At 45.6% G+C, this 25,277-nt stretch overlaps 1 protein-coding gene and 1 pseudogene across 1 annotated transcript, besides 2 other annotated features; both read left to right on the top strand.

Moving 5' to 3' along the window:
- On the top strand, positions 8,554–9,742 carry MPHOSPH10P5 (MPHOSPH10 pseudogene 5; annotated as a pseudogene).
- On the top strand, positions 14,398–24,154 carry GOLGA6L1 (golgin A6 family like 1). Its single transcript, NM_001001413.3, has 9 exons — positions 14,398–14,686; positions 16,333–16,461; positions 17,547–17,597; positions 17,686–17,779; positions 17,875–17,981; positions 19,360–19,418; positions 19,749–19,890; positions 20,548–21,750; positions 22,407–24,154. Exons 1-9 carry the CDS (start codon positions 14,489–14,491, stop codon positions 22,428–22,430), a joined length of 2,007 nt encoding a protein of 668 aa, NP_001001413.3. The 5' UTR covers positions 14,398–14,488; the 3' UTR covers positions 22,431–24,154.
- Positions 18,485–19,005: an enhancer, noted in NCBI's record as "NANOG hESC enhancer chr15:22740333-22740853 (GRCh37/hg19 assembly coordinates)". NCBI's record gives its function as "activates a minimal SCP1, AML or CMV promoter by ChIP-STARR-seq in naive H9 embryonic stem cells {active_cell/tissue: H9 hESC(naive)}" and the evidence as "EXISTENCE:reporter gene assay evidence [ECO:0000049][PMID:30033119]".
- Positions 22,159–22,659: an enhancer, noted in NCBI's record as "H3K4me1 hESC enhancer chr15:22744007-22744507 (GRCh37/hg19 assembly coordinates)". NCBI's record gives its function as "activates a minimal SCP1, AML or CMV promoter by ChIP-STARR-seq in primed H9 embryonic stem cells {active_cell/tissue: H9 hESC(primed)}" and the evidence as "EXISTENCE:reporter gene assay evidence [ECO:0000049][PMID:30033119]".
- Positions 24,155–25,277: the final 1,123 nt, after the last annotated feature.

Raw genomic sequence — 25,277 nt, 5'->3', positions numbered from 1 at the left:
CAGAGGTTGAGGTGGGAAAATTGCTTCAGCTCAGGAGCTCGAGGCTGCAGTGAACGGTGATCACGCCACTGCACTCCAGCCTGGGTGACAGAGCAAGACCCTGTCTCAAAAACAAACAAAACAAAACACAAACCAAGGGTGAGAGAGATGTTAGATGTTTTTGTCCTTGTTACAGATGTAAATGCTCAGTTGGAAAGAGGGAAGTATTTAGAGTGAAAAAGTTTCGGTGGAACACACACAAAAATAGGAAGATCAGGTATAACTGTTCCAAAAAAAAGAGTATGGCAGTATAGAAGAAAAGGTCTCCATGAAAATGCAGAAGAACAATTTCACAGCTGGTGCTGGCATTTCAGAGACCTTGAGCTGGGAATCAAAAGATGGGAATTTCAGTCTCGGATGTGCCACTCCTTAGAGGTTTAATATCTACTAAACCCGGCGGGCTCCACTTGGTGGTGTTTGCTATTTAAAAAAACAAAAACATGTGGCAATGATCTTCCACGTGATTCTGACTTGAGCCCCACGCGAGTCTGCAGACTTACCCTTCCACTGCTTTGCCCTTCAAGTTTGTGCCCATTAGCAAAGAGAAATTTTCTCTTTGGGATCACTGCTGTGTTGATCTCAGGAATATTTGGCGTTGAATTTAACATATTTTTCATATGTGTGTGCAATAGGGAGGCTGAGAAAGTTGTCTTTTTTTTAAGGTGTTCATTTTTGGGGTACAGGTAGCAGCCTGCTCTACAATCCACACAGAAGCTGGAAATAGCCTCTAGAGAATTTCCACGTTTAGAGAAGATAAATTTATACATTTGTATCTAATCAACATTTTTTAGGTAACATAGTAGTCTAATTATACTATGTATAATTATACTATGTATAATTATGGGTACTGAAATGACACCTGGCATATGCTGTATGCTCTGTTATATATACATATATATTTACACATATACATATATATTACACATATACATATATATTTACACATATATATTTACACATATACATATATATTTACACATATATATTTACACATATACATATATTTACATATTTTACATTTACATTTTACATTTATTTTACATTTTACATTTACATTTGACATTCTACATTTATTTTACATTTACATATTTTACATTTACAAATATTTACATATTTTACATTTATATATACATATATTTACATACATATATTTACGTACATATTTTTACATACATATTTACATGTGTATATATTTACATACATTCACATACATATTTACATATATATTTACATACATACATATTTACATAATATTTACATACACATATTACATACATATATGTACACATATACATATATTTACACATATACATATACTATGTATAATTATACTATGTATAATTATGGGTACTGAAATGACACCTGGCATATGCTGTATTTAAAAATGTGAGGTTCAGTGAGAACACATGGACACAGGAAGGGAAACAACACATACTGGGGCCTGTCAGGGCGGGTGGGGGAGGAGCATCAGGAAAAATAGCTAATGCGTGCTGGGCTTAACACTGAGGTGATGAGTTGATAGGTGGACCAAACCACCATGGCACACGTTTCCCTACGTAACACTCCTGCACATGTACCCTAGAACTTAAAACAAAATTTTAAAAATAATAAAAAATAAAAATGTGAAATTCAGCACATAAACTGTTGGTTTTATTATTCATATTTTCTTAATTCAGAAATTATTTTCTGAACTATGGTTTATTCGATAATTTTGACGTAACAATTTTTTAAGAGGAAATTTAAGTTTTACTTTTTAATTGGGGCTCTTGGTTCTTTTTAAGAAAGACAGAGATAAATCATTTATACATTTAATTAGAAGAGACTGGGCTTGAATTTTTAAAAAGTACTAGAAATCGTAGCCACTATATATGTTATCTTTGAAATGTTTTAGACACTAATTACCTAAACAAGGAGCAAATAAGTTAAACCTCTTGGATTTTAATAAGAACTAAAATGTACAGTTGTATTTTCTGGTTTTTTAAATTGTTACAGTCTAAATTTATTCTTCCTAATGAAGAAATGTATGTGCCGTCAATATCAGGTTCTTTGTGGGTACTCACAGTTCCCTTTGCCTTTTACGCAGTGAATGTGGGCAACATGCGTGGAACAGAAATGATGTCGTTTTCTTTCTTTTGAATATCACTATGAATCTAATAATTCAAAGATTCCTAACTTTCTGAATGCCATTATTAATTGGATTCACAATGACTTACCAGGTACAGAGTTGTCCCGTGTGTCTTGGGGTGAACTACTGAGAGTGGTATGAGGGAAGCGATTCTCAGCTAGCGCTGAGTGGGGCCACTTCCAAAGAGGTGATGGGGTAAGAAGCACACACAATGTGGCATTTTCACTGCAAAGGGAGGTTTGTGCTGCCTCTCCTCCTGTGGCAGGTCTGCTCGCAGGGGAGGCTCCAAAGTTTGGCTTTGCTGGGTTTGGCATGTGAGAACTGATGAAATATCTGTATGTAGTATCTTTCAAGGATTTATATCGGTTGGATTTCTGTGTAAATTTGCATATCCCTTTGACTGCTTTACCCCATAGAAGCTTTGTATGCTTAACAAAATCTGTAACTTTTCTGTCACTTTCTCATTTAGCATCTGCCTTTCTGGCTTTTTACTTTATCTTTTTATTATTGTTTTTAGTTTAATGAGATTATGGTTAGAGAGAAAGATGGGTGCATGATTCCGCTTCTTTGGAATTTGTTGAGATTTTCCTTATGGCTCAGTACATATGTACTTGGGGGGGTGAATGCTGTCACTTTGGAGAGATATGTTTTTTCTGTACATTAAGTCAAGCTTGTTAATTTTCTAGAGAGATGTAAATCTTCTATGTCTATGCTGATTGTTTTTTGTCTCTTTTATCAGACACTGAGATATGTATTTAAATTGCCCTCTGAGGGTTGCAATTTTGTCATATTTTGCTTTCATGTATTTTGAGTGCTAGTTATTAGATACATTAACATTTTAGATTACCTTCTCCCTTGGTTTATTAGAATTTTTATCATTATATTGTGGCCTTAAAAAATCTCCCATATTGCTTTTTGCCCAAAGCCTATTTTATCTGATAATAATATAGCTTCCAACCCTTCTTTGGGTTAGGTACATATGACAGGTGTATCTTTTTTCAATCTCTCTCAGTCTTTCTGTGACTTTATGTTTTAGATGTCTTTTCATACTGTTTATTTTCTGTTTTTTGTGTTTTTTTGTGTGTTTTTTTTTTTTGATACGGAGTCTTGCTCTGTTGCCCAGGCTGGAGTGTAATGGTGTGATCTCGGCACTGCAACCTCTGCCTCCTGGATTCAAGCGATTCTCCTGCCTCAGCCTCCTGAGTAACTGGGATTACAGATGTTCACCACCACGCCGGCTAATTTTTGTATTAGCAGAGATGGGGTTTCACCATGTTGGTCAGGCTGCTCTCGAACTCCTGACCTTGTGATCCCTCCGCCTGCCTCATCCTCCCAAAGTGCTGGGATTACAGGCATGAGCCACCACGCGTGCCCTAATTCTGTTTTATAGTCATTTTCTCTTAATTATTCAGTCTATTTACATTTATTGTGATTGTTGGCATAGTTTCTTTTATAACTTTCATCGTATTTTGTGCTATTTGTTCCATCTGTTTTTATTTCTTCATGTCTTTTTTGTTTCGTTTTTGCTAATTCCTTTTATATTCATGGTTATTCTGCTCTTGAAATGTATGCTATGTGAATATATTTGTGAGTTGACAATACTTTATTAGCAATTAAATATACTATTTCTCTTTTTTTTTAGAACTTGCTCAAATGTTACATAACCTCAATATCCTTAGTATCTAAATTAAACTGACTTTCTGAACAATCATCATTTTAAGGCAGTTACCACGATCTACTAAAAAATAAAAAAAAATTAGCCGGGAGTGGTGGTGGGCGCCTGTAATCCCAGCTACTCAGGAGGCTGAGGCAGGAGAATCCCTTGACCCTGGGAGGCAGAGGCTGCAGTGAGCCGAGATAGCGCCACTGCACTCCAGCCTGGGCGACAGAGAGACTCCGTCTCAAAAAAATAATAATAATAATAATAATAATAAAGGAATTTAAAAAAAGACTGGGTTTAACCATGTTGCCCAGGCCGGTCTGGAACTCCTAGGCTCAAGCAATCCCCCACGCTTGGCCAGTCCAAAGTCCTGGAATCAAAAGCGTGAACCACCACGCCAGGCCGATCACGCCTGTCATCCCAGCACTTGGGGAGGCGGAGGTGGGTGGATCACCGGAGGTCAGGAATTTGAGACCAGCCTGGCCAACATGATGAAAACCCGTCTCTACTAAAAATACAAAAAAAAAAATTAGCCGGGTGTGGCGGCAGGCGCCTGTAATCCCAGCTACTCAGGAGGCTGAGGCAGGAGAACCACCAAAACCCGGGATGCAGAATTTGCCGCGAGCGGAGACCCAGCCACTGCACTCCAGCCTGGGCAACAAGAAGGAAACTCCGCCTCAAAAAAAAAAAAAATAATAATAATAAGAGACAGATTTTCACCATGTTGCCCAGGCAGGTCTGGAACTCTTAGGCTCAAGCAATTCCCCACGCTCGGTTGTCCAAAGTCCTGGGATCGAAAGCGTGAGCCACCACGCCAGGCTGATCTATTTCTTTCTGATTAATAAATTGGGCCGGGAGCGGTGGCTCACGCCTGCAGTCCCAGCACCCCGGGAGGCCGTGGCGGGCGGATCACCTGAGGTCGGGAGTTTGAGACCAGCCTGACCAACATGGAGAGACCTGTCTCTACCAGAAAAAAAAAAAAAAAAAAAAAAGAGCCGGGCATGGTGGCTCCCGCCTGCAATCCCAGTCACTCGGAGGCTGAGGCAGGAGAACCACCCAAACCCAGAGGCAGAGGCCGCGGGGAGCCGACACCGCACCACTGCACTCCAGCCCTGCAACAAGAGGGAAACTACGCCTCAAAAAAAAAAAAGAGAGAGAGAGAGAGACCGGTTTTCACCATGTTGCCCAGGCTGGTCTAGAACTCCTAGGATCAAGGGATCCGCCACGCTCGGCCGGTCCAAACTCCTGGGATCAAAAGCGTGAGCCACCACGCCAGGCCGATCCTTCCTGTCATCCCAGCACTTTGGGAGGCCGAGGTGGGTTTACCTGAGGTCCGGAGTTCGAGACCAGCCTGGCCAACATGATGAAAACCCATCTCTACTAAAAATCCAAAAAAAAAAAAAAAAAAAAAAAAAAATTAGATGGGTGTGCTAGCGGGTGCCTGTAATCTCAGCTACTCAGGCGGCTGAGGCAGGAGAATCGCTTGAACCTGGGAGGCAGAGGTTGCAGTGAGCCGAGACAGCGCACCACTGCACTCCAGCCTGGGTGACAAAGTGAGACTCCGTCTCAAAAGTATATATATATAAAAATAAAAAATGAAATAAAAATAAATTGGGTGTGTGCGCTGGCTCACGCCTGCAATTCCAGCATCCCCGGAGGCCGAGGTGGGCGGATAACCTGAGGTCTGGAGTTTGAGATCAGCTTGCCCAGCATGGAGAAACCCCGTCTCTACCAAAAACAAATAAAAAAAAATTAGCAGAGCAATGTTGGTCAGGCCTGCAATCCCAGCCACTCCGGAGACTGAGGCAGGAGAACTACTAAAACCCTGGAGGCAGAAGTCGCTGCGAGCGGAGACCCAGCCACTGCACTCCACCCTGGGCAACAAGAGCGAAACTCCGCCTCAAAAAAAAAAAGAGAGAGAGAGAGAGAGAGAGACCGGGTTTCACCATGTTGCCCAGGCAGGTCTGGAACTCCTAGGCTCAAGGGATACCCCGCGCTGGGCCATCCGAAGTACTGGGATCACAAGCGTGAGCCACCACACCAGGACGATCTATTCCTTTCTGATTAATAAGTTGGGCCGGGAGCGGTGGCTCAAGCCTGCAATCCTAGCACCTCGGGAGGCCTAGGCAGGTGGATCACCTGAGGTCGGGAGTTTGAGACCAGCCTGACCAACAGGGAGAAACCCCATCTGTACCAAAATAAAAATAAAAAAAAAATACAAAATTAGCCGGGCTTGGTGGCTTATGCCTGCAATCCCAGCCACTCTGGAGGCTGATGCAGGACAACGACCGAAACCCGGGAGGCGGAAGTCGCGGCAAGCAGAGACCCAGCCACTGCATTCCAGCCTGGGCAACAAGAGCGAAACTCCGTCTCAAAACAAGACAAAACAAAAAGACCAGGTTTCACCATGTTGCCCAGGCCTGTCTGGAACTCCAAGGCACAAGCGATCCACCCTACTTGGCCGTCCAAAGTCCTGGGATCACAAGAGTGAGCCACCACGCCAGGCAGATCAAAGCGTTGAGCTGAATAAAGAGTTATCTTTTAGCATTTTGTGGAGCCCGGGTAGATCTGTGCAGGGGGAAGCATATTACAGAAGCGAGAAACAGAGAGTTATTTAATTGAAGCACGCATTATGTTTTTTTTTTTTTTACGTTTTTAGGAAAAATATGTTTTGTGACTTGCATTTGTTTGTTTAGTGACCTTGCAGTTGCACAGTTAGGGAATTAGGGTTTTGATAATGCCTGGGAAGGGAGCGATAAGGCTCACTAGCCATAGGAAAACAGGTAGTTTTTTTAAAGGACTAAGGCTCTTTCTCATTCTCAGGGGGAATTGGGTTTTTTTTACATACAGCTGAGTTTTTGCTTACACATTTTTTCATTTCTTTTAATTCCTGTTCCAATCCCAGCATCCTTGCGGTGCGGTTTCCCAGCGGCTCTCTTGCCTTGCAGCTTGTGTCGGGAGTTGCAGACAGCCATGGCCCATGGGCCTGGCGCTGACGGACCCTGGAGCGGTGTCTGAGGGAGGTGGGCAAAGCCACTGGCTGGCCCGAGTGCATCCTCACGTAAGTGCACAGATCCCGGGCTCGGGTGCGACTGCGGTCGCACGTGGACACGGGTTGCAGACCCCTGGCAAATTGTGGAGCTGGGGGAAGGTAAGGGGAAATGTAAATCACTTTTCCCCACATTTCAGAGGACCTAGGCTATCAAAATTTTAAAAATTGTTAAAACTTTTACAGTATGGATCTCTCAGTTGAATGTTATTGAAATCAACCTAACCTCAGTTATTCACGCCTATAAGCTCCCCTTGAGGCTTATTACGGCCCCCATCCCCCTACACACAACTGTGTTGGTTTCTCCTTCCGCCTGTGCTCCTAAAGCACTCAGTGTTTACCTGCCATCATACTTTATTGAAAGCACAAACTTGTCACTTGTCTGTCTACCCCACTAAGCTTCTTGAGAATTAGAACTTTCATGTCTCTTCCCAACACAAACGTTTTATGTGTATTTTGTTGAAGAACTTCAAATATGACCTATAAAATTATGACTCATTTATGTTTCAAACTCCAACCTCTCCCTTGAGTTCCTTGCTCACAAGCAACTCCAGACTGAGCTTAGTTGGAATTCAGTAGCGCACAACTGGGATATCCGCACCGTACGGCTTTTAACAATTTTTTAAATTTTGGTCCTCTCAGCATCACAAATTCACCGTGTCCAAAATACAGTAGAATGTTGTTTCTACCCACCTACACTCTGCCATCCGCTGAAGTCCTTTCCCCTTGCTCCACCACTCAAGCCTTGCCTATCGCAGTAAATGGCAGTTCTGTCTCTCCAGTTGCTCGCACATAAAACTAGGCTGCTATTTTGATGTCTTCACTTTTCTCTATTCTGTATCTAATTCCTTAGCAATCCTGTCAGTTCTACCTCCAAACTGTACTCAGCATATTCACTGCTCTAACTCCAGCTTAAATCACCATCATCCTTTGCCTGGAATGCTGCATCAACCTTCTAATCACTCTACTTTCCTCCTCCTCCTTCCTCCCTTTCTTCTTCCTTCGTATAAATCATCATTTCATCCTTCTGCTTAAAATCTTCTCACATTTTCTTATTACACTTAAAACGGCAAACTCTTACCCTTGAGCCCTGCAGAATTTGGCTCCCATCAGTCTCTCCGACTTCACCTTCTGCCTCCTTCACGCTATAGCCATGCTCACTTTTTTATTCCTCAGGCTTACCAAGCTCAATTGCATCTTAGAGAATTTGTTCTTGCTGTTTCTTCTGCCTGGAATACATGTTTCCCAATCTTTATAAGACTATACTTGTCTGTAAGTTTCACCTCAGATGTCACATCTAGGAGAGGTTTTCCTTGACCACTGTAAGCCAAAGCAAATGTTGATCATTGAGTGAATAAGGGAATGAATGAATGGAGTGGTATATAATGTAGCAGAGTAGAAAATTTAAGGCTAATTCTCTATACATCTCCAAGCAAATAGATTTGTAATGCTTTTCCTGCCAACAATCTATACAGCTGATTCACAAATACTTGGTTGACAGGTTTTATATATCATTGTGGCTCATCAGCTTATATATTGTTGGGGCCAGAATCTATACTTACACTTTATTCAAATTTGATTTTACAGAAGAGTTGAGGTTTTTATTTTTCTTTTAATTAAGAGGGCTGTGAAATTATTATCTATAATTCTAAATCTCATTTAATTCCTCCCAATAGGTTTCAAGCTGGATTGGAACCAAAGTTCACTTCTTTAACGAAAGTGCTTTATGACTTTAATAAAACAGTAGAGAATGGTAGAATCCATGGCAGCTCTTTACAAAAACTTGTGATAGAAAGTTTTGATGATGAGCAGACTTTGCAACAACTGGAATTGCAAAATGAAGCAATTTTACAGTGCTTCCAGAATGCGGTTAGTGAAAGAAAGATGAAGATATCAGTCTTCTCCCAGAGAGTGAAGAACAGGAGCATGAAGAGGCTGGTTCAGAAACAGAGGCTGATGGCCAGGAGGACTTAGAAGATTTAGAGGAGGAGGAGGACGTGTCAGATATGGGTGGTGACAATCCTGAAATGGGTGAGAGAGCTAAAAACTCAAGCAAATTCAGGGCCAGGCGCGGTGGCTCACGCCTGTAATCCCAGCACTTTGGGAGGCCGAGGCAGGCGGATCACGAGGTCAGGAGATCGAGACCATCCTGGCTAACAAGGTGAAACCCCATCTCCACTAAACATACAAAAAATTAGCCAGGCGTGGTGGCAGGTGCCTGTAGTCCCAGCTACTCGGGAGGCTGAGGCAGGAGAATGCCATGAACCCGGGAGGTGGAGCTTGCAGTGAGCCTAGATCACGCCACTGCAGTCCAGCTGGGCGGCAGAGTGAGAGACTGCATCTCAAAAACAAAAACAACAATTACTTAACTTTAGGATGCTCCAATAATCAAAATTGATAGTGGCTTGTGAACAGATAGATTACTTGAATAGAATAGAGCCCAGAAATAAACCCAAATGCTTCTGGGGGAGTTTGGTACATTATAAACATGACATTTTAAATCAATGAGGAAAAGAAATCATTTGCAGCTCACCCCACCATACACAGCAGGAATAGGAAGTCATTGGCAGAATAAAAAGATGGTAAGAACAGAACAGAATTGTAGAACAGTACATTTCTCGCTTCCCCACTTTTCAAAGTATTTTTTGCTTTTTCACAAATGTAAGTGTAATTTTATTTTCTAAATGTATACTAATTCTTTTCTTCTCTTTCTTAGATGAATGACAAAAATTACATCTTTAGAAAAAGAGTTGTTAGAAAAAAGCCTTGGCTGCATGTGGGGGAAGTGACAGCACAGAAGAGACCAGAGAAGAGCCTCCTGGAGGAGAGCCTGCACTTTGACCATGCTGTCCGGATGGGTGCAGTGCTCTTTTCTGCAAAGTGTTCACTTCTCTGCTTTTTCTGTGGTCCCATTTCATAGAAAGATTTGGGGTGATGTTTCTTTCCCTCAACTTTTATTTTGAAAACTTGCAAACACAGAAAAGTTGATAAAATCATACAGTGAACATCTGTATGCTATTCAACTGGATTCACTAGTTAATGTTTTGTCACACTTGTTTTCTGTCTTCTGCGTATGGAAGATTGTATATGTGCCCTTTTTCCCCCTGAATCATTTCAAAGTAAGTTGGCAGTATCAGAGCATTTCACTGTTAAGTACTTTCGCAGATATCTTCTAGGAACCAGGACTTCTCCTATATAATCACAATACCATTAATCCACCCCCAAAATTTAACATCAATACACTAATGATACCTACTGTATAGATTATAATCAGCTTCCTTGCAGCAATCTGTTTAGAAGGCTTGCATCCTGTCACTGTCCACTGATTAAATTTTGAACTCTAACTTGAAACCCTGGTCATCTCATTGCCTTCTTTCTTATACCCATTAAGTCAAAAGGAGCTCTCATTTTATTTCAACAGAAAAGAGAATGGAAAAGAGGGGAAGAGTCCCTAGTACCTTGGATAAAGTATGAGCACTTACTACCATATGTATTCTAGTTCTGTAGTTTTCAAACTTCAGGGAGCATCTCAAGGCTTATTAAAGCACAGATAGCTGTCCTTCCCCACTTTCTGATTCAGGAGGTGTGGGGCTGGCCCAGGAATTTGCATGTCTAACAAGTTCCCACGTGTTTCTGATGCTGAGGGTGTAAGGACTACAATGCGTGAATCCGTGGTTTAGTGGATCCACCTAATGAATACATGTTGTATTTCCTTTGGCACCCGTGATTACAGAGGAAACACCTTTCAACTGGAAGGTATCATTAAACAGAGGATAAGAGATCAGGTCAGTAAGAATTAAATTTCACTTAATTGAAATGTCACTCAAATGTTTAGAAATAATATGACAGGCCAGGCACAGTGGCTCATGCCTGTAATCCCAGCACTTTGGGAGGCCAAGGCAGACGGATCACTTGAGGTCAGGAGTTCGAGACCAGCCTGTCCAAGATGGTAAAACTTCCTCTCTACTAAAAATACAAAAATTAGCTGGGCATGGTGGTGCATGCCTATAGTCCCAGGTACTCGGGAGGCTGAGGCAGGGGAATCGCTTGATCTCGGGATATGGAGGTTGCAGTGAGCTGAGATGCGCCACCGCACTCCAGCCTGGGCAACAGAGTGAGACTCCATCTCAACATAAATAAATAAATAAATAAATAAATAAATAAATAAATAAATAAGATAAAAATAAAAATAAAGGGAAGATGGGGCAGCTTTGTGTATTGCATGTCCTGAAAATGGGCTGATTTCTCTCAAGAGGCAGGGATTTAAGCTCTGTAGCCTATGTGGGATACATACAGGAGAAAAAAGAAGAAAAAGAAAAGAAATGTAAATATAAATAAATGAAAATAACACTTTTCCATGATTATAAAGGAAATCACATTGTTTTTGTAATAATTTGGATGACAAAATGTAAAGAAAAATCTTTAATTTTGCCACTCAAAACATTCCGGTTTGTTGCTTTTCACACTTTTTATGCTGTAAACATTTTAAAAAGTAGAATCACAATACATGGTCTTTTGTCACTTACTATATTTTAAGCATGTTTCTATGGAGAAATATACCCTGGCATCATCACTGGATGTATGTTAAGTGAGTCATTGCCACCCCAGAGGTGGATTTCCTTCTATATATATTTTAATGGACTCGAGTCAGGATTTTTGCACTGAATTCATAGAAGTAGAATTTCTAGAGGAAAGTAATATAAAACAGTTTTAGGATTTTTAAAAGAAATGTTCAAATCATCCTACAGGAAAATTGGTTGAGTTTATGCTCCCACCAACAGGGACAGAGCTCCAGGTTCCCCCTTCCATTTGTCATCTTCGCTGGTCTTTAAGCAGAAAATCTCATTGTTTTCATTACCTTTCTTTGATTTCTAGTGCTTTTGAATCTTTTTCATTTGCTCATTGGCCATTTTTATTCTTGTGGGAAGTGCTGGTTTCTCCATTGCCCATTTTCTGCTGCAAATCATTCATTTTTTTTTCTGAGTAATTTTAAAGATTTCTTTATAGGCTAAGGCTACAAACCTTTAATCTGTCATTGAGGTTACAAAGATCTTCTCCCAGTAAGTAATTTGTCACTTCACTTTATTTATTTATTTTTTGCTAGCAAAGCACCAAAGTCAAATTTCACTTAATTTTTATCCTGCTGAATGAACACATTTTAAGTTAGTGATTTTAGTGGAAACAGGAGCAGGACAGAATGTAATAATTAGATCTCGCTCTGTCACCCCAACTGGAGTGCAGTGGCATGATCATAGCTACTGCAGCCTCAAACTTCTGGGCTCAAGTGATTTTCCCACCTCAGCCTCCCAAGTAGCTCTAGGACTACAGGTGTGTGCCGCCAAGCCCAGCTAATTTTTAAATTTTCTTTGTAGAGATATGAATTCGCTATGCTGCCCAGGCTGGTCTTTAACTCCTGACTTACCCCACCTTAGCTTGCCAATATGCTGGGAGTACGGGCGTGAACTACTGCTCCCGGCCAAGAGCTTACTTTGGTTTGCTAGCAAGGTTCTTGGTATCTTTTTATATTTGAGGCTTTCGTGCTAGTGCTGAAGTATTACACTCACCATCTGAGGTTTACAGGACTTTTGTTTTAATATTGAACCGAGGGAACTGTTTAGTTTTGCATCTTTGCAGGTATACAAAATGTGCCTACCAGGACTCTGCTTTATATCCATTGAAAAGCAAGAAGTAATACAGTAAAAGTTTGCCTGGCTACAGGCTTTGGAAGAATGGAGTATTCTGGTTTAATTCTATTAACTTGGAAGGATGAAGGTGGAAAAAATTCAAAACTTTAATTTCCTGTTGAATGCAATTTGAAAATATAGCCAATGAGTCCACTTTTCTTCTCTAGTAAGTTTGGACATTCAGATCTACTTGGTCTTTTATCATAGAACTCCTAGTGCGCCTGAGTCTTACGTTGTGAAAATCCTTTTCTAAAACTTTAGATGTAAGAGGATAGAAATGATATTGGATGAGATCAGGCTGGATGAGAACTGATACCTGTAGATATATTTTTTAGATGAAATCTCTGATTGCCACACGTTTTCTTATTGAACTCATAAAAATAAAACACACTGGCTGGAGGGTGGAAGTAGGAAGGAGATTTATGTCTTTTAATTGCATGTCATTGTTTCATATTGAGACAGAACATATAGTATCCCTGGCTTTGGACCTACAGAAGGAAACACATTTTTCTACCTGCTGTATGGCAGAGGTTCCTGAGCACCTGGAGGGATTATTGCAGCACGGATTGCTGGGCCCTACTGCAGAGTTTCTGATTCATTCGTGTCTAGGGTGGGGCCTGAGAATTTACATTTATAAGAAGTTCCCAGGTGCTCCTGGTCCGGAGACTACATGTTTGAGAGCCACCCTTACATACTAACTGTAAATTGTAGAACTCTAGAAAAAAGCGTAGTTTGGACTGGGAGAAGAAGCACACAGGTAATGGAGCAAATCATGAAAAAGTCAACCCTTGATCCCAGGTAACAAGCAATACACAGTGACATAACACAATTCTTGGTTTTCATGATTGCAAGTCATAGCCAAGTATCGAGTGAGAAATTCAGTTTCATTTTCAGGGCTTAGAGGCCAGGTGATTCTAGAAAAATCGGATTTAGTGATTAACTCATGAGAGTAGGAGTTATTTATGTCCTTTTTCTCTCCCCCATCACTTAGCATTTAGCCTTACTTTAGAAGGGTCCTGTATTTGCTTTAACCTTGTAAAGAACTTTGAGTGCTTATTAAATGGAAAGCCTTGTGTGTGTGTGTGTGTGTGTGTGTGTGTGTGTCTGTGCGTGTGTGTGTGTGTGTGTGTATTTAGAGACAGAGTCACATTCTGTAGCAGCCCAGGCTGAAGTGCAGTGGCATGATTTTGGCTCACTGCAACCTCTGCCTCACAGGTTCAAGGGATTCTCCTGCCTCAGCCTCCCAAGTAGCTAGGATTACAGGCACCTGCCACCATGCCCAGCTACTTTTGTATTTTTAGTAGAGACAGGATTTCATCATGTTGGCCAGGCTGGTCTTGAACTCCTGAATTCGGGTGATCCACCCGCCCCAGCCTCCCAAAGTGCTGGGATTACAGGCATGAGCCATCACGCCTGGCTCAAAGCTTTGTATTTTTAAAGATATTAGACATGTTTCTTGTTTGTTTGTTTTTTTTAAAAAAACTAAACGCTAATGTAGGAGAATAAGAGAAAGTTTTTCCAAAAAAGAGAAAACATTGTGATTATCTTATTGGAATGTTGGATAATAAAGTCTGCTTTATCAATCATCAAGCACACTATAAAATTTCCATTTTAATAGGACTTGTACCTCAATTGAGGTAATAAAGTTTTAAAGTTTTTAAAGTGAAAGCCAGCCCCGCCCCTCTCCTGGAGTGGGCGGGGACAGCGGTTGCATAGGCAGCTTTCCTTGTGACAACACAGGTCCTTGATGACACGCTGCTGTCTGGCCACACCTCCTTTTCCTTTCATCTTTCTCATTGACCAATGGGCTTCAAGCATGAAGGCCACACCCCTATTCTGCATTCTAGTGCAGCCCTGGTTACGCCTCCTCTGGCTCAGTCACACAGCGACGTAGAGGTGACTGGAGGTATATACTTGTCCTCACCTGGATCATGCTGATGTGGCCCCAACCCCACCTCCCTACCCATCCCCACCTCCCTACCCATCCCCACCTCCCTACCCATCCCCACCTCCCTACCCATCCCCACCTCCCTACCCATCCCCACCTCCCTACCCATCCCCACCTCCCTACCCATCCTATGATGTCCAAAGAAACCAGACAGAGCAAATTGGCCGAGGCCAAGGAACAGGTAAACGCACCAACACCCCAACCCAACCCGAGGCCCCCTCTGACAGCCGAACTGCTGCCAGAGTCTGTGCCACTCCTGAGGGACACCAGGCTGGGCCCCCCACCCCAGTGCCTCTGGGCTCCCCACACCAAAATCTTGTCAGCCAGCCCAACCCCCTCATAAGTCCTGCCCCTGCTCTGCCCGGCACACCAGGGTGACTTTGAGCAGGTGACTCCTGGGGCTTCCAACTCCATACTCCGCCCTTACCTCCTGCTACCCCAAACCCGACCTCCCTGGGCTCCTTGAGCTCACATCTCCAAGGACCTGGGTGCCCCAGAACCTGCCCTCACCAGTTGCCACAGGGTGACTTTGGGGATGTGACTCCTGGAGCTCCTTGCTCCTTAATTGGCCCTCACCTCCTGCCGCCCCAAGCCTGACCTCCCGGGGCTCTTTGGGGTCACGTCTCCAAGGACCTGGCTCCCAATTTTGTGACCCCCTCCCCAGTCTCAAAGCGGCAACTTGGGCATTGCACTCATGTGTCCCCCCCAACCACTCCACCGAGGAGTAGAATGTAGTGATGTCACAGTCCCGCTACAAACTGTCATTACTACCACAAGACCGGCCTTTGGTCTTAGGACCCAGTCCCCTAAGTGTTCTTGCCCACTTCTGTTTCCTCTGGTTGCAGCACAGGTTTCCAGCTGGAAGGGGAATGGGGACTGTGGGACCTAGAAGAGAGAGGTTTCAGGCTGCCTGACTTCCTTACCACAGACCTTGACAGTGTGAAAAGCCTACACCTCCCCCATGAGCTCAACACGTTGACAGTGTCTCTGGGTGGCAATGGGAGAACGGGTTTGGTTTGGTTTTCTCCCAGGCTTCTACTCTCCAGAGAGATTTTAACATTTTTTCTCAGTTCTGCACCTCAGATTTGAATTCTCCATTGTTCTGGGACCAGAGTGCCCCTCAGTCACTGGTTCTGGAGTGAGATCTGCTTATCTTCTGTGGAACAGATCTTGGGAAACTGAACTTAGCTTGAGTCTTCCTCATCTCATCTCAACCTGGGGTACTTTGAGTGCCACAGGATAAATATGGGGCATCTTTCTGAAGCATCAGTTTCCCTTGATTCTATTGAGAGGCAAAACATTAATGTACTTAGGGATGAAAGTCACGTAGATTTATAAGCGTATACAAGACTTCTCTCTGAAATGAGGCTTGGGTTGTCCTCTTTCTGTTAAATTCCCAGATTTAGCAGAAAGGCTGCCTTCTGCCATGAGGAGACATTGATGTAAAGGTTTGAGAGGTACTGGTGTACTTTTTAACACTAACAGACGTGTGAGGGTGAATAACCCTAAACCACATAGTGCACAGTTCCTGCCTACTTAATATTTGCTTTTCTACCTCTGCCTCTGGTTTTGGTCCCTGGCAGCTGCTGATTTAGGGCAAAATCCCAGAGCTCAGAGTCAGAAGACTGAGTTTAAGTTCCATTACTGCCTTTTTTTTCAGCCATGGTATCAATCTCTCTCAGTCACTAAGTGATTGTGACAACATTTCCTACAGTTGGTGGCATTAAATCAGATGGTCTATAAGAGTATTTAGTATAAACTGTAAAGCAGGATGTGACTGTAGGAGCTTGTAGTTCTCATGAGTATCACTGCTCTTCCTTTCCACAGTTGACAGACCATCATCCCCAGACCAACCCTAGTGTTGGTACAGCAGCAAGCGACACCAAAAAGAAGAAAATAAATAATGGCACTAACCCTGAGACAACCACTTCTGGTGGTTGCCACTCGCCTGAGGATGTGAGTCTTGGCTGGCCGGGCTCCTGGGGACAGAGGGCCCAAGGGGTGGTGGAGGGTAATTGTTAAGATTGTGGAAGAACTGCCAGGTACTGGCTAAGAATTCTGGGTTTGAATCCTACCCCTCCATCTGCTAGGGACATGATTTAGCGCAAATTGCTTGAGCTCTTTGGGCCTCTCTTTTCACATCCGTAAAATACGAGTGGTATTGTTTTCCTTACGTTTGTGAAGTTTAAATGAGATTTGTCATTGTGTTTTTATGTTAATCCCTCGTCCAGGACCTGCTGTAAACTCTCCTTCTTGGGCTTGCGTTTCCTGAGGTAGAGTTAGAGAGTATCAGAGGTTTCTGTTAGCTCTGAGAGCCCGAGAGTTAAAGGCCCACTAGAATGGAAACCTCGGGGCCAAGGGCTCCTGTCTGCCTTTTCTGACCTCTATTCCCGCTGTGAAGAACCGTCCCTGGCCCGTATGTGCTCAACGTTTGCTGAGTGAATGCACCTTTCTAAATCACAAGCTGGCGGAAGGGTGGGCTTTTCTCGCACTCCACCTCTGAAGGTTTCTGTTACTGTCTTTTCAAGAGAATCTAGTTTCAGACTTTGAGTTCTGTGGCTGTGGGCAAAAACCAAAAAGACCCAAATCCTTCTTCTTTGGGAGTTGAGGAGAGTTGACCAGTTCATGTTCCCATTGGGTCTGAGAACTGTGCCTTTTAAATCCATTCCTGGCCCCTGCCTATCGCTTCCTGGCCTGGGGAATAGAGTCAAGGGGGCCACCCTCAGTCACCTTCCTTTGACTCTCCCCACAGAAACAATAGAACCGAGCTCAGCTGGAAGAAGTAGTGTGATTTCTTTGCTCACGACATGACCGCTGGGTTTGGGGGCACTCAGATGTAGAGGCCCCAGCCTCATCTCACCCACTCCCAGCCTGGGGAAGAAGGCTCACCCCCAAGATTCCACCCCATCCCCACAGGGTCCCTGATAAACTGGTCCCATGGGTGGGCCTGTTCTGGGGCAGTGGTGCCATTCTGGGGGCATGTCTCTTGCTGTGGATCTCTGCCTCCCCCTAGTAAGAGCTCTGTTTTCCTCTTTCTATAGGAACAGAAGGCAAGCCACCAACATCAGGAAGCCCTAAGGAGGGAGCTAGAGGTGAGTGGAGGGTGTGAAGTTCCCTCCTGCCCTCTGGAGAATGTTTCTTTGCTTCTCTTTCAGCATTTGCTTGTCTTTTCTCCCAAAGGCCCAGGTTCATACCATACGAATCCTTACATGTCAGAAAACTGAGCTTCAGATGGCACTCTACTACAGCCAGCATGCTGTCAAGCAGTTGGAAGGTGGGAATCTGGCACCCCATCATCCTTCAACCTGGCACTTTGACAGGCCTTTAGGGGGAGTCCTTTGGGCCACATCTGAATGTCTCTCATTCCAGGAGAGGCCAGGGATCTGATCAGCCGCCTGCATGATTCATGGAAGTTTGCAGGAGAGTTAGAGCAGGCTCTCTCTGCTGTCGCTACACAGAAGAAGAAGGCGGATAGGGTGAGTCCAAACACGGCCCCGTCCCTTGGGAGCCCAGCTTCGCAGATGGAGGAGTGAGCCTAAAGGTCCCTTCTGTAGGATGGAGTGTCCTGCCCAGAAGGCAGCATGGCCATTTCTTGCTGCTTTTGTGTGTGGTTGTTAGAGGCAGACTGGGGCTGAGTCGGCTGTTGTGGGTGAGTTGGGGAGCACTGTGAGGAGCGAGCACTGGACATAGAGCTCAGAGGCCAAGTGCCCGCCCTGCCCATATTTGGCTGTGGCCTTGGCCAAGTCCTAAGTGGCGGTTAGGGTACTTGTACCATAAAGGTACAGAAGAGTATCTTGAGTATGTTATTATTTGTGTGGAGAGAGGGGGCAGGTGTATATGTGTGTGTGTGTACGTATTATGGTAACATACATAAAACACGTTTGTAAGGATTCATTAAAAAACTCAGGATAGAGGCACAGTGTTGGGGGGAGATATTTCCCTTCTGGACTTTCTGAGTTTTGGACTATGCGAACGTATCATCCTTTCAAAAATTCAACAAAGGATTAATTTCCTCCTTCTTAACTGTGCCCCTACCTCCAGCGGAAGAATGGGCTTAGAGAATCAGATATACCTGGGTGTTGAAATCCCAGCTCCAAGTGATCTTAGGCAGCACTTAACCTTTAATACCGCATGTTTTTCATCTACACAATAGAGGTAATAATGGTAACCGTCTCCTATGGAGGTTGTGAGGATTAAATGGGATTGTTAGCATAGTGCCTGGTGAAGCACTCAAGAAAGGTTCGAACAATGGTAGTACTAACAGTAATAACAATAACAATATTATCTGATCGCTCTGGGCCCCTGTTAGCCAGCTCTAAATTCAATCTCTTTCCCTGTCCCTTCCACATCCACTGAGTTCTTTGAAAAACAAATGAGGGCCAGGTGCTCTCGCTCACGCCTGTAATGCCAGCACTTTGGGAGGCTGAGGTGGGCGGATCACCTGCGGTCAGGAGTTCAAGACTAGACTGACCAACACGAAGAAACCCCGTCTCTACTAAAAATACAAAATTAGCCCGGTGTGGTGGCACATGCCTGTAATCCCAACTACTCGGGAAGCTGAGGCAGGAGAATTGCTTGAACCCAGGAGGTGTAGGTTGTGGTGAGCTGAGATTGTGCCATTGCACTCCAGTGAGGGCAACAAGAATGAAACTCTGCCAAAAAAAAAAAAAAAAAGAAAGAAAGAAAGAAAGAAAAACAAATGAGACCATGGGCTTGGAAATGCCTTGAGAACACGTCAGGTGTGATTGAGAGTGAGGAAGTGTTACTGTGGAGTAGTCACTGTAGCAGTTGTTCCTGGTCGTCCAGCTACTGCTGTGCCTGCTCTATCCTGACTTAACCTTTCTCTATTTGCAGTACATTGAGGAGTTAACAAAGGAGAGGGACGCCCTGAGTCTGGAACTGTACAGGAACACGTAGGATGGGGGAAGGTGGAATGGGAGGTCTGGGGGCCCTTAGCATGGGTGGTGTGCTGGGAGGTGGGGGGTCCAGGTGAGTGTGGGGAGAGGCTCATACATGTTTTCATGTGTGCACACGGAAGCTCTAGTGCTGGCTGTGCCACTGACTCATGGGGTAGCCTCAGGCAACTCATGTCTTCTCTCTGGCCTGCCACCTGGGACTTTTAATTCCTGGGGTCCCTTCCAGCGCCACGGTTCTGTGGTTGTGGGGCGAGGGTAGGGGGTCAATCACCAAAGTGGTCTTTTATGTTCTTCATTCATTCCTTTCTCTACTGCCTCTGGCCATAGCATAACTGATGAGGAGCTGAAGGAGAAAAATGCCAAACTACAAGAAAAACTTCAACTTGTAGAATCTGAAAAGTCTGAGATCCAGCTCAACGTAAAGGAGCTAAAAAGGAAACTGGAGAGGGCCAAGCTCCTGCTGCCACAGGTGAGCAGCTGCAGCCCCGGGGGTTGTGGGAGACCCATCCAGCTGGGACCATGGTCTAGGGATCATGCAGGGTATGGGGAGGCTCCAGCCAAGAGCTGGAAAATTTGGGTCCTTGTTCTGGTCCCGCCATAGAATCCTCTAGAGTGTACTAAAAATGTACAAATTGGGGCCCTGCCTGGGGAATCAGAATCTCAAGAGTTAGGGCTTAAAAATATTTTTTTAAAGGATCATGGATGAAAACCATTATTTTATAGATTACATTTATTTATTTATTTATTTATTTATTTATTTATTTATTTGAGAAGTAGTCTCACTCTGTCACCCAGGCCAGAGTGCAGTGGCGCAATCTCGGCTCACTGCAAGCTCCACCCCCCGGCTTCACGCCATTCTCCTGCCTCAGCCTCCCAAGTAGCTGGGACTACAGGTGCCCACCACCACACCCGGCTAATTTTTTTGTATTTTTAGTAGAGACGGGGTTTCACTGTGTTAACCAGGATGGTCTCGATCTCCTGACCTCGTGATCCGCCCACCTCGGCCTCCCAAAGTGCTGGGATTACAGGCGTGAGCCACCGCTCCCAGCCTATAGATTACATTTATGTGGCTAGCTCATGATTCTGCTTCCTTCTGAGGTTCAAAAAAACACTTTCACTATTCCAGCAGCAGCTGCAGGCGGAGGCTGACCACCTGGGTAAGGAGCTGCAGAGTGTGTCAGCAAAGCTCCAAGCCCAGGTGGAAGAGAACGAGTTGTGGAACCGCCTGAACCAGCAACAGGAGGAGAAGATGTGGAGGCAGGAGGAGAAGATACAGGAGTGGGAGGAGAAGATACAGGAGCAGGAGGAGAAGATACGGGAGCAGGAGGAGAAGATACGGGAGCAGGAGGAGAAGATGCGGAGGCAGGAGGAGATGATGTGGGAGAAGGAGGAGAAGATGCGGAGGCAGGAGGAGATGATGTGGGAGAAGGAGGAGAAGATGCGGAGGCTGGAGGAGATGATGTGGGAGAAGGAGGAGAAGATACGGGAGCTGGAAGAGAAGATGCACGAGCAGGAGAAGATACGGGAGCAGGAAGAGAAGAGGCAGGAGGAGGAGAAGATACGCGAGCAGGAGAAGAGGCAGGAGCAGGAGGCGAAGATGTGGAGGCAGGAGGAGAAGATACGGGAGCAGGAAGAGAAGATACGGGAGCAGGAGAAAAAGATGTGGAGGCAGGAGGAGAAGATTCACGAGCAGGAGAAGATACGGGAGGAGGAGAAGAGGCAGGAGCAGGAGGAGATGTGGAGGCAGGAGGAGAAGATAAGGGAGCAGGAGGAGATATGGAGGCAAAAGGAGAAGATGCACGAGCAGGAGAAGATACGGAAGCAGGAGGAGAAGGTGTGGAGGCAGGAGGAGAAGATGCACGACCAGGAGGAGAAGATACGGGAGCAGGAGGAGAAGATGTGGAGGCAGGAGGAGAAGATAAGGGAGCAGGAGGAGAAGATACGGGAGCAGGAGGAGAAGATACGAGAGCAGGAGGAGATGATGCAGGAACAGGAAGAGAAGATGGGGGAGCAGGAAGAGAAGATGCAAGAACAGGAGAAGATGCGGAGGCAGGAGGAGAAGATAAGGGAGCAGGAGGAGAAGATACGGGAGCAGAAGGAGAAGATACGAGAGCAGGAGGAGAAGATATGGGAGCAGGAGGAGAAGATACGAGAGCAGGAGGAGATGATGCAGGAACAGGAAGAGAAGATGTGGGAGCAGGAGGAGAAGATGTGTGAGCAGGAAGAGAAGATGCAAGAACAGGAGGAGAAGATGCGGAGGCAGGAGGAGAAGATGTGGGAGCAGGAAGTGAGGCTGCGGCAGCAGGAGGAGAAGATGCAGGAACACCAGGTGAGGCTGCAGGAGCTGGAGGAGAGGCTGGGGAAGCTGGGGCAGAAGGCCGAGCTCTTGGGGGGAGCAGGCGGAGGTGTGTGCAAACCCTGGAGATCATACAGAACGACCTCACCACAACTTAGCAGATGGTGGTTGGCTCCCTCTGCTTTTCCACCAGTCTGTGGCCTACAGTTTAAATGGTGGGAAGAAGGGTGTGAGATTTGAGGCTGGGGAGGGAGGCATGGGCCTCTAGGCAAGGGAGGCAGTCATTTAGGCCTGGAGGAAGGGGCCAGGGCCAGGGGCCTGGGTAGGCGACAGAGCCCCGCAGTGCCCTCACTACCCTGTTTATGGGCCCAGAATCTGGAAGCCAGCCACTACCTACCCTGACGCCTATCCTGCAGGTGGAGCTGAAGAGCCAAGAGGCTGAGTCTGCAGCAGCAGCGAGACCATTACCTGGGTCACCTGCAGCAGTACGTGGCCGCCTATCAGCAGCTGGCCTCTGAGAAGGAGGCACTGCCCAGCTGCAGCAGCAGGAAGCTCAGGGCGAAGCGGTGGCCGAGATGGCCCACCAATAGTTGCAGGAGACCCGGTTGAGGGAGTTGATGAGGGCGGGGCCCCAAGGGGGATGATCTGGCAACCTCCGTGCCTTCTCACTCTCTTTCCTGGCCCCTTAGGAGCACCTGGAAGCTGCCATCTAATGAGCACATGACAAGAAGGCAAAGACAATAAACATGTAAAAGCCGGCAGCAAGGCCTGGAGAAGAGTAAGCCGCCATGTGACTGTTTAGAATATAGTCTGAGCACAAACCTGAAAAAAAAATTTTATTTATTTTAAATTGTGGCAAAATACTGGCCAGGCATGGTAGCTCACGCCTGTAATCCTAGCAATTTGGGAGGCCGAGGTAAATGGATGACCTGAGGTCAAGAGTTCAAGACCAGCCTGGCCAATACAAAAATTAGCCGGGCATGGTGGCGCATGCCTGTAATCCCAGCTACTTGGGAGGCTGAGGCAGGAGAATCGCTTGAACCTGGGAGGCAGAGGTTGCAGTGAGCTGAGATCGTGCCACTGCACTCAAGCCTGGGTGACAGAGCGAAACTCCGTCTCAAAAAAAAAAGTTTCTTCCTTACATGTATGTTTCTATTAGTTTTCTTCTTGGTCTTTCTCATTTAGTCTTGTGTTGTCTTTTGACATTCATAGTAAACTTTTATCTGCCTCCAGAGAGTATTGACTTTGAGTTTATGGCACACAATTGGAGTAAGGGCAGATCGCCTTCATCTACTTTGGGACTAAGCTGGTTCAAAGCAGGTTTTAGGTTTTCTGATGGCTGGTCTATGTTTTATTCATTTGGACTCCCAGGGGTGGCCCTTCCAGGGTCCCCACCAAGGTCCCATCTCCTTCCTGGGACCCAAATTCTCATTAGGTCATTTCAGCCCTGTGAGAGTGCCAAACATTCAGCTAGGCTCTCCAGCCTCTTAACTACCACTTCATACTCAGTTTCTTAGCCTCTTAGCCCTCTACTGTTGACCAATCACCAAATGTGGGAAAGCACTACAGACTGTCAGGATCACCTCCTAGGCCTGGTCACTCAAGTCCTGACTGAGGTCTCCAATTACCTTCCAACAATTGTTTTTGATTGGGGGCGGGGCACATTTTTATCCAGTTTTTCTAACTGCTCTTGTGGGGAGGCGAATCTGTAACAAGCTCCTCTGCCTTTACTGAAAGTTGAAAACCTTCATCTGTCCTTTTTTTGTTGTTGTTGAGATGGAGTCTTGCGCTGTTGCCCAGGCTCTAGTGCAATGGCACGATCTCTGCTCACTGTAACCTCTGCCTCCTGGGTTCAAGCAATTCTCCTGCCTCAGCTTCCCGCGTAGCGTGTGCCACCATGCCTGGCTAATTTTTTTTTATACCTTTAATAGAGGCAGGATGTCACCATGTTTTCCAGGCTGGTCTCGAGCTCCTGACTCAGGTGATCTACCTGCCTCAGCCTCCCAAAGTGCTGGGATTACAAGTATGAGCCACTGCATCCGGCCCATCTGTCTTTTAAAACATGTTTTTAATTGGAGGTATAATTTCTATTAGTGAAATGCACAGGTCTGGTTTACATTTTGATGAGTTTTAACTCATTTAACATTACTATGGAACCCACCTCCTTTGAAGATACAGAGTATTTCTATCATCCAGAAAGTTCTCCTGTGCTTTCATGCTGTCCCGCACTCCCCCAGCAGCTGATGAACATGCTGAGGACATTGGTACTGGATTCTGGCCGCCCCAAAAGAGCCGCTTTGACCAGGCTTACCCAGCACTAAATCCCTGCCTGCTCTCTCAAAATTTCCATCTTTAAACTGGTTGTACCTATAACCCTCCCTCATCAAGTCAATAGATAAACAAACCCTGAAAAATAAACAACTCTTCCTGGCCCAGCAGCCCACAGCCTAATATTTACTGTATTCCCAGGCTTTCAGAAATGTAACTCGCCTGCCGGTTCACCCTCACTAGGGCGGCAGCTGCACGGGAGCAGCTGGGCTCACCCATTAAGCAAGAAGCCAATAGCTGGACAGTGACACTCAGACCCCAGCCTGGGCGAGCCTGGCTGAAAGCCCCCTTCTTTCCATCCGACTGTGGAGAAAGGGGGCGGAGCACACACAACTCTACTGCCCTCCACATCCTTCACCTGTGCTTCCTCCTGGGAGAGGGAGCCGCTCCTTAATTTGGCCAAAGCCTTCTTGAGGGCTGTAGGTTTCACAGGCTGGGTGTGTGGGGGCCACCGTGCTAGAGACAGAGGCTGGTGTGTCAGAAGGCAGCCACCTGGCCAGAGGGGGGTCAACCCCCTTGGTGACCTCCTTCCCCCGGCTGGACACAGTGCCCTGCACTCTCTACATGTGACTGTTCCCCTCAGAGCTGCTTCCAGGGGAGGGGTTCTAATCCTGTGGGTGGGGACATTGTGTTACTTTACAGTGGGCCATGGCTCCCTCTGACATCTCCAACTCAGAGGCAGTAGAGAGAAGATGAGAAATTCCCTGCCCCTCCTCCCTCAGCACCCCCACCTCTGCACACGTCCACATGTGGAGACCCTGACAATGGGCCCTGGGAGTGCCGCCATCTGTGCCTGCTTTCCATGCCTGCAGCAGCCATGCCCACTCTCCAGACCCTCACCCGCCTGGGTCAGTAGACGCTTCACTGCCTGTGGTCCTGCGCCTACACCTGGGCCTCTGTACCCGTCAGTTCCCCCAGTCTGGTTCTTATTCCCTGCAAAGAGTAGGGAGCCTGTAAGGTCACCTGTTGAGCAAGCTGGGGGAGAAAAGTAGGGTGGGGATGGGAGGATCAGGATGAGAAGCTCATGGTCGTGCTGGAGACTCAGCTGAGCAGAGTCTCTGCAGGCCCATTGGCTGCCTAGCCAGTGGTGATCTCGCTCCCACCCTCATTTCTTCTTTGTTAACAAAACCATGACCTCATTAAATACTGGACACCTATAAACCTCATGGACCCTCCTCCAGCCTCCCCACCGTGTACCGGTGAGTCTAAGTCAACTCTAGTCATTTCATTCC

This window comes from Homo sapiens, chromosome 15 (genome assembly GCF_000001405.40).
Source record: "Homo sapiens chromosome 15, GRCh38.p14 Primary Assembly".
Taxonomy (NCBI): domain Eukaryota; kingdom Metazoa; phylum Chordata; class Mammalia; order Primates; family Hominidae; genus Homo; species Homo sapiens.
The sequence above is the reverse complement of the archived record's forward strand: the minus strand, read 5'-3'. Positions and strand labels throughout refer to the sequence as shown.

What these genes read in the sequence shown, in the direction of transcription:
- GOLGA6L1 (NM_001001413.3), top strand. Translation starts at nt 14,489, where the DNA reads ATGCTGATGTGGCCCCAACCCCACCTCCCTACCCATCCCCACCTCCCT. An exon ending in GTTGCCACTCGCCTGAGGAT is followed by an intron (nt 16,462 to 17,546) that starts GTGAGTCTTGGC and finishes CTCTTTCTATAG; the next exon opens with GAACAGAAGGCAAGCCACCA. An exon ending in AGAAGAAGAAGGCGGATAGG is followed by an intron (nt 17,982 to 19,359) that starts GTGAGTCCAAAC and finishes CTCTATTTGCAG; the next exon opens with TACATTGAGGAGTTAACAAA.